The following is a 9,313-nucleotide window of genomic DNA, read 5'->3' on the forward strand; positions in this document are numbered from 1 at the left end:
AGCTACTAGGTATTTTTGCTAATGTTTACTTTATCTTTCAGATATTTTGAAATTAAAGATTTGTCCTTAAAGTGTTTTAATGGTTTGATTTAATAATAGGCAATAATTGAATCTAAATAGTCAAAACTATCTTTGATGAAGCAAATTAAGCATGTGACTATAAAGGACAGAATTACAAACCCTTTGTATTTTAGTGAATTATGACCAGATCCTTCAATATAGAAATCTTATTGCTACTATGTCACTTTGTCAATACAAGTGTAATATTGCTTCTAGATTATTTCTACTATGCCTAATATCATAAATCACACTAAATTTTTTCTCCTTAATTGATAATGATACATATTAAAATATGCTTTAAACTTCAATTAACAGAAGGATATTTGTAACGGATTTTGTCTCAAGTAATTAATGGACACAATATTAAAGTAAAATTGCATTTTTGTAAGTTAAACTTGCTTTCTAGTTAAAGATATATAAGACAGTATCACAAAATGTAAGACCTGGACTATTATTTCATACTTCTATGACTTTTCTATTTCAACTTTGCATTTTGTTATATAAATTCTCAGCAATATGTATTTTCAAATATCCTCATAATCAGTTATTTCAGTACATTTACATGGCAACCTATTTACATGGAATATATTTATTGGCATTTGAATATATTGTTGAAATCATCATATTCTGAAACTTTAGCTTTACTACTAACATTGATTTTTGATGAATTCCAAAACTGTTTAATTTTCTAATGACAATAACTCTTTTATGAACAAGACCTTTATCCAGGTGCACTAAAGTGTACTTTGTATAAAAAAAATGCATGTTTTACAAAGTGGAATTAACTATCCAGGTGGACAGCTGGACCACAGCAGGGTACATTACTGTGGGAGGAAGGAGAATTTTGATCATTGAAACTGGGCTAATTCCCCTATGTTTATATAAAACTGGAAAAAATGCAGGATCTCAGTGTTTATTATGGTAAATGAAAAACACTCAAGCAGTCAAGCTTCAGGGAATTCAATTTATCTACACACTTCAAAGGCTAAATCAACTATGATGAGTTCTAAAAATACGGAGCAAAAAATGACAAAATATTGTTATAATAAATGCTTTTTATAATTTCTTTTAAAATATCCCTTGTTAGACAAAAATATTCTAAACTTCAAATGATGTTTCAGTGATTTATTGATCTGGTTATATAAAGATTTGCTTTAGAAATATTAAAGTGTGAAGTGAATAGCTATTGCCAATCCATATTATATGATAGTTATTCACTAATATGAAAAACAAAACAAAACTATCCTATACCTAATTATGCGAAATGGAAAATGTGCAAAGAGAAACCAGAGACTTCAGTCCAAATCCAAAGCACAGAAGAAAACAAATGTTTGTAGGATTTTCTTTCAAAGAAAAATGAAAAGCAGTGGAAATAGCTGACTCTGATTAGAAGAAAAGCAATTTAGGCAAAAATGTGTCATCTTTCTATGTTACACAAATTATTAAAAATAACTGTATCTCTGTATTCTGTTGTAAAATTGATAAACCTTTAAAAATGCCCTTGTGTATTCAGAAATTCTTTTCTGAACGCCAAATGAAAATAAAATTCCAGTATCTAGTGCCAAGTAATTAAAGTGTCTTCAGAGTCCAAAGTAATACAATTTAATCCTTTTAACTTTACTAGTGACATATGAATGCAATACACTTGTATAAAATACTCTTTTACCATATATCCACTTGAGATATGATCTTCCTAATTCTTAAATGTATTTTTTTATTTTCTCCCTGTCAGCAATTTCAAAAGAATGGCTAAGGGCTGAATATTACCTACCACAGAAATATAGCACTTTTTCATTCATTTGCAACTAGTAATAAGAGTAATCCCTCGTCACTACATTGATCAGATTAATCAGAACTTATCAAAATAATTTCATCATTCTGCTATGCCTCCTATTATCTTGAAAGTGAGAAATGACCAGTTGAGCAGCGAAAAAACTGTAGTTGAATCGTTAACAGTGCAAGAGGATGGTCAAGGGGAGCAAATAAAAACAATAGGGCATGGTGATGGAGAGAAGGAGCAGTTTTTAAAAACCTGTACGTGAATGTTCATAATAGTTATTTGTGATTACCCAGTGTCCTTCAACAGGTAAGTGATTAAACAAAATGTGTACAAAAAGGAATAAACTGTTGATACACATCATAACTGGATAAATCTCCAGGGAAATATGCTAAGTAAAAAATCCAATCCCAAAGGTTATATTCCGTAAATTTCATTTATGGAGGTGAGATGGGAGGGAGGTGAGTATAGTTATAAAAAGGAAGCATAAGGAATCTTCATGGTGATTGAACTGTTCTGTATCTTGACTGTGGTGGTGAACACAAAAATCTACACGTGTGATAAAATTGCATAGAACTAAATATATACATGGGCATGCACATACAAATGAATATATGTAAAACTGGTGAAAGCAGAACAAAATTTTTGGTTCATATTAACGTCAGTATCTTGATTGTGCTATTGCACATGCTTTTGCAAGATGTTACCATGGAGGAAATTGGGTAAAGAGAACACAGGATCTTTTTATTATTTCTCCCAACTTCTTGTAAATCTAAAATTATTCCAAAATAAGTTTTTTAAATGTATGGGAAAGGAAAGCAAAGTGCATGATTCAGGGTTTTTTAATTATACTGCCTGATTTTAGCTCTTATTTCTAAGCAAAGTATAGAAGTATCAGAAATTAAAGTATTTCACTTTAATTTTTAACCAAGGTGAGATTACACTATTAGATAATAGCTGCAAAAAATCTAAACTTGACTGCATAAATGTCTTCTTTTGAGAAGTGTCTGTTCACATCCTTTGCCCACTTTTTGATGGGGTTGTTTGTTTTTTTCTTGTAAATTTGTTTGAGTTCATTGTAGATTCTACATGAAAAAATGCTCATCATCACTGGCCATCAGAGAAATGCAAATCAAAACCACAATGAGATACCATCTCACACCAGTTAGAATGGCGATCATTAAAAAGTCAGGAAACAACAGGTGCTGGAGAGGATGTGGAGAAATAGGAACACTTTTACACTGTTGGTGGGACTGTAAACTAGTTCAATCATTGTGGAAGTCAGTGTAGCGATTCCTCAGGGATCTAGAACTAGAAATACCATTTGACCCAGCCATCCCATTACTGGGTATATACCCAAAGGATTATAAAATCATACTGCTATAAAGACACATGCACACATATGTTTATTGCGGCACTATTCACAATAGCAAAGACTTGGAACCAACCCAAATGTCCAACAATGATAGACTGGATTAAGAAAATGTGGCACATATACACCATGGAATACTATGCAGCCATAAAAAATGAAGAGTTCATGTCCTTTGTAGGGACATGGATGAAGCTGGAAACCATCATTCTCAACAAACTATCATGAGGACAAAAAACCAAACACCGCATATTCTCACTCATAGGTGGGAATTGAACAATGAGAACACATGGACACAGGAAGGGGAACATCACACTCCAGGGACTGTTGTGGGGTGGGGGGAGGGGGGAGGGATAGCATTAAGAGATATACCTAATGCTAAATGACGAGTTAATGGGTGCAGCACACCAACATGGCACATGTATGCATATGTAACTAACCTGCATATTGTGCACAAGTACCCTAAAACTTAAAGTATAATAATAAAAAAAAATCTAAACTTGAATTTGAAAAAGTTTTAATTATTTGAAGTGGTTTCACATCAGAAATTTTCTTGAAAATATTGGATGTAAGTCAATGAGCACTGTTGTTGTTATTGTTAATGAGTGTTCAATGAAAGTTAGCAAGATGCTGTCCATGAATTATCTCATTCTTATAGAAAACCTATGAGATAAGTGTTGCTCTTATCCACATTTTATAGATGAAAAAAACTGAGGTTCTGAAAAGCTGAGTAATTCATTCAAGGTTATCAGGTAATAAGTGGCAGATTCAAAACTGTGACCTAGGTCTCTCTGACTCTGCATCTGGTTCTCTTAACTACTAGAATTTAATGCCACTTCTATGCTTTACTCACTGGAAGACTTCTAAAGAAAACAATTGTTCTTTTTTATAATTAAGTATGTAAAGTATAAAAATATAATGACACAGTAAGGGAAAAAGATAATTTTGTCAGATGTTCGCCAATTTTGTGTTCTTATAAATATTCAAATATGGATTGGGTTAATGACAATACATTTTATAATAGAAAATCTGTTAGCATCAAATTCATAACTATAACACTGAAGAAAGCCAAAAGATAATCAGATGAAAACATAAAAGATAATAATATCAGTTACCAAATTAAATACAGGTGATGTTTCAAAATGAACTATTACCTGAAAGCAAGACACCAGTTTTTTGTTATTGCAAGAATGAAACAGTTAGTAGAATCACAAAAAAATTCAATTGCCTCTCAGCTGAGTTTAGTTACCCTGTAGTCTCTAGTTTGGAATTAATCTTTGAGCTTTTGAAAAATTAATATGTAATGAGAATATTGCTTACATTCACAAGTATGAAAATAAGATGCTTCCTTTAAAGGCACTTAAATCAGTTTCTAATAAACTTATTTAATATTGGGCTTTATTTCTTTTGCTTACTGGCCAGAGAGTACCACATAACCTAAAAGTAATTTATTGGAATTCAGTAAGATCACAAAATGTGATAATGATCTGAGCCAATCTATAACAAATAAACATTCCCCTAATTCAACGGAAAATGTCATCCAACATACCATATAAAGCTACATCCACTTCAAAAATGTTTCTGATTATATTATACCAATTGTCTTTTTCTGTTCATTTCATTTTTCATGATAGAAAATTAAAATGATTTGATTTATCCTTTTCTGAGTTTCTGACACATGTTGTAATAAAGAAATAAAACACTATTTGATATGCTTTAAAATAATATGTCATCTGATTAGAGATAAAGTTATCTCAGCTGGGTTCTATCAGTACCAATAAAAAGAGAAAAATCAATTTATAAAATAAAATATAGAAAATTTCATAGATTTTCCTACTATTAAATTTGTAATTTAATGCCACTATAATGACAGCCACATTTACTACATGTGATTTAATTTTATCATTGGGGAGGGGGAATCTCATTAATTTAGAAACTGTAAATAAAGATGGACATTTCAATTATGTAATTAAAAACTTCCTCACTTGTTTTATTTTCATGCTGAAAACAATTACAAAAATAAAGCCATGTAAATAATTACAATGAAACTACAGCAACTCACCAAACAATAGGAAACTAAGAATTAGAGGAAGATAAACTGGAGATTCATCTGGTTGTAGTGTGTATCAATAGTTTATTCCTTTTTATTGTGGTACATATGTACTCAATTTGTTTAATCACTTACCTGTTGAAGGACAGTGGGTTGTTTTCAGTTTCTAGCAATTATAAATAACTATTAACAAATCAGGCACCAAAAAAAGTGTACAGCAAGATTATTTAGTAATAGTATAATTAACATTATCATCAAATACCTCTTGTTATCTAAGAAAGTCTTTATACTTTAATCAGAGATCACTACATGCACTTTAATAAGCCTTTGAAGTATGACTTTTTAAATCTTTTCTTAGGTTCAGGGGTACATATGCAGATTTGTTATATAAGTAAATTGCATGTCACAGGGGTTGGTGTATAGATGATTTTATCATGCAGGTAATAATCAAAATATTCGATAGGTAGTTTTTCATTAATCTCCTTCTGCTCATCCTCCATTCTCTGGTAGGTCCTGGTTTCTGTTATTCCCTTCTTTGTGTCCATGTGAACCCACTGTGTAGCTCCCACTTATAATTGGGAACATGCTGTGTTTGGTTTTTCTGTCCCTGCATTAGTTCACTTAGGATAGTGACCTCCAGCTCCATTCATGTTGCTGCAAAAGACATGATCTCATTCCTTTTTATGTCTGCATAGTATTCTGTGGTGTATATGTATCACATTTTCTTTATCTAGTCTACTGTTGATGGGCATTTAAGTTGATTCCATGTCTTTGGTATTGCAAATAGTGCTGTGATGAACATATGCATGCATGTGCCTTTATAGTAGAACAATTTATATTCCTTTGGATATACACCCAATAATGAGATTGCTGGGTTGAATGGTAATTGTATTTTGAGTTCTTTGAGAAATCACCACACTACTATCCACAGTGGCAGAACTAATTTACATTCCCATGAGTAGTGTATAAGCATTCCCTTCTTTCCACAACCTTGCCAGCATCTGTTATTTTTTGACTTTTTGATAATAACCATTCATACTGGTGTGAGATGGTATCTCATTGTGGTTTTGATTTGTATTCCTCTAATGATTAGTGATGTTGAGCATTTTTTATACGTTTGTTAACTGCGTTTATGTCTTCTTTTGAAAAGTGGTTGTTCATGTCCTTTGCCCACTTTTTAATGGTGTGGTTTGTCTTTTCTTTGTTGATTCACTTAAGTTCCTTATAGATTCTGGATATTAGAACTTTGTCAGATGCATAGTTTGTGAATATATTCTCCCATTCTGTAGGTTATCTGTTTACTCTGTTGATATTTACTTTTGTTGCACAGAAGCTCGTTAGTTTAATTAGGTCCCACTTGTCAAGTTTTGTTTTTGTTGCAATTGCTTTTGGCATCTTCATAATGAAATCTTTGCCAGGTCTTATATCCAGAATGGTATTTCTTAGGTTATCTCCCCAGGTTTTTATAGTTTTAGTTTCTACATTTAAGTCTTTAATTCACCTTGAGTTGATTTTTGCATATGGTGTAAGGAAGGTGTCCAGTTTCAATCTTCTGCATATGGCTAGCCATATGGCACCATTTATTAAATAGGGAGTTCTTCCCTCATTGCTTGTTTTTGTGGGCATTGTCAAAGATCAGATGGTTTTAAGTGTGTGGCATTATTTCTGGGCTCTCTATTCTGTCACATTGGTCTATGTATCTGTTTTTGTAGCAATACCATGCTGCTTGTTTACTACAGCCTTGTATTATAGGTTGAAGTTGGGTAACATGATGCCTCCAGCTTTGTTCTTTTGTTCTTTGTTCATGGTCTTTGTTCAATTGCCTTGGCCATTCAAGCCCTGTTTTGGTTCCATATGACTTTTAAAATAGTTTTTTTTCCCTAATTATGTGAAGAATGTCATAGATAGTTTGACAGGAATAGAATTGAATCTGTAGATTGCTTTGGGAAGTATGGCCATTTTAACAATATTGATCCTATTTTGTGTCAACTCTGATTTCTTTGAAAGGTGTTTTGTAACTCTTGTTGTAGAGATATTTCACATCCCTGGTTAGCTGTATTCATAGGTATTTTATTCTTTTTGTGGATACTGGAAATGTGTTGCATTCTTGATTCAGCTCTCAGCTTGGATGTTGTCAGTGTATAAAAGTGCTACTGATTTTTGTACATTTATTTTGTGTCCTGAAACTTTGCTGAATTCATTTATCAGATCAAGGAGCTTTTGGGCCAAGACCATGAGGTTTTCTAGGTACAGAATCATACTGTCTGCATATAGTTTGACTTCCTATCTCCCTATTAGGATGCCTTTTATTTCTTTCTCTTGTGAAGTATGGCTAACTTTCGTATACTTAAACCTATTCTCCATTTTAAAGTTTTCTGAATTTTCTATCCCCACCTTTCCCCTATTTGTCCCACTAAATGTTCCTTCACTTGAGTAACAAGGTCTAATTTATTTTTTTTCTTTTGATAAGTTCATTTTGTGACAATAATCCTTGTGACCAAACTTTGCTCAGTCAATTAGATGTGCTGTTCAATCTACTTCAGTTGTCGCGATGATCCTAAGCAAGAAATCAGTCAGTTTTCAATGCATGGTTTTCATTAAATAGACATGGCTTTAAAATATTAAAATAAGTTCACCAATGTGAAATACACACTTGCATCATTGTGTTAAAATTTGTAATTGAAAATTTGAATACAGGGTTGTATTTAAGATTTTCTAGAGAATAAAGCCTAAATTTCATCAAAGTATAATTATTGTAACTGGTTCAATAGATTATTCTTAGGCTAACATATATGTGTAAATTCATTAAATTAATAATTGTTTGCAAGTTAATATCCAAAGTTATCTCATTGGGCTCCCTAGGTGATGATGTGCTAATTGCCCCTGGAGCTGGCCACTTGTATTTTTTTAAATAGAGGTAACTGGCAAATCTGGACACAGTTAAGCAATTATGCTAAGTAAGAGAGAGAATGCTGTCTGAAATTCTAGCCAACAATTATCCATTAATCATGTCCAATATTTTTTTTCTATGGATGGTAAAAAATAAACCGCCTAAACTCTCCCAATTTAAAAATATGAGTGGCATTTTGTTACATTCCGGCAAGGGGAATAATATCAGAAACTTCTTGGCTTCTCACAAAATAGTGTTTTTAATAAATCGATGGCGCCCTGGATCATGGTCTTTCAAAGGTCATGCTGGTCCAGGAAGATACTGGGAAGCTGAATCACAGGTCGGATGATATAACTGGGTAATAGGGATTCAGAGGAGCACCGGAAAATGGCACTTGTGCTTTGACTTTCTAAAGTGTTTGTAAAACGGCCTGTTTGACCCAGACAGAGCTTTACTATCACAGGAAAGTGCTTTTGGAGTCCCTGATGAGTGCAGCAACCTCACCCCAAACTTTTGAGCACATCTTGGCGCCCAGAGCAGCCATTCGCGACCTAAATTACTAAGTCAAGATTCAAGCTCTACAGCAGCAAAGGTCCTGTGAGGTACGCTTGGCTGGAAGAAAGCTAGGTATCTGGCTCTGCCCAGAAGGCGCCCGCTCCGCAAACTGCTGGGAAGTTCTGGTTTGTTCCAAGAGTAGCACCAAGGAGACAAAGGAACATGCAAAATAGGATAGCTTATGCTGGCTGCAAGAAGCTGCAGTCGGGTTTTTGCCCCTGGGCCCTCTGATAATCACCGCAGGGACTTGGGGCAGGAGCAGGCTATTGGAATGATGGCAGACGGTTTAAAATTCCTTACTTGCTGATCCCTGAGCAGTGGTCTTGTAGAGTCACCACAGCACTGGAGATTGGCAGCTAGCTCCACCACTAATGTGCTCTCTTAAATCTCGATTACTTGAGGCGGATAATGGAAGAATGAAGTTACCTACCTGATTTGTTATTGTTGCTGCTGTGAGGTTTAAGAGTTAACATGTAGCAACATGAGGATTAAGAGTTAACATGTAGCAAGATAGCAAGCTTAAAAAAAGAAAGAGAAAGACAGAAAGAATGAAAGAAAAGAAAGAAAGAAGGAAGAAAGAGAAAGAAGAGAAAGAAAGAAAGAAAGAAAGAA

The sequence above is a fragment of the Homo sapiens genome, chromosome X, assembly GCF_000001405.40.
Source record: "Homo sapiens chromosome X, GRCh38.p14 Primary Assembly".
Lineage (NCBI taxonomy): Eukaryota > Metazoa > Chordata > Mammalia > Primates > Hominidae > Homo > Homo sapiens.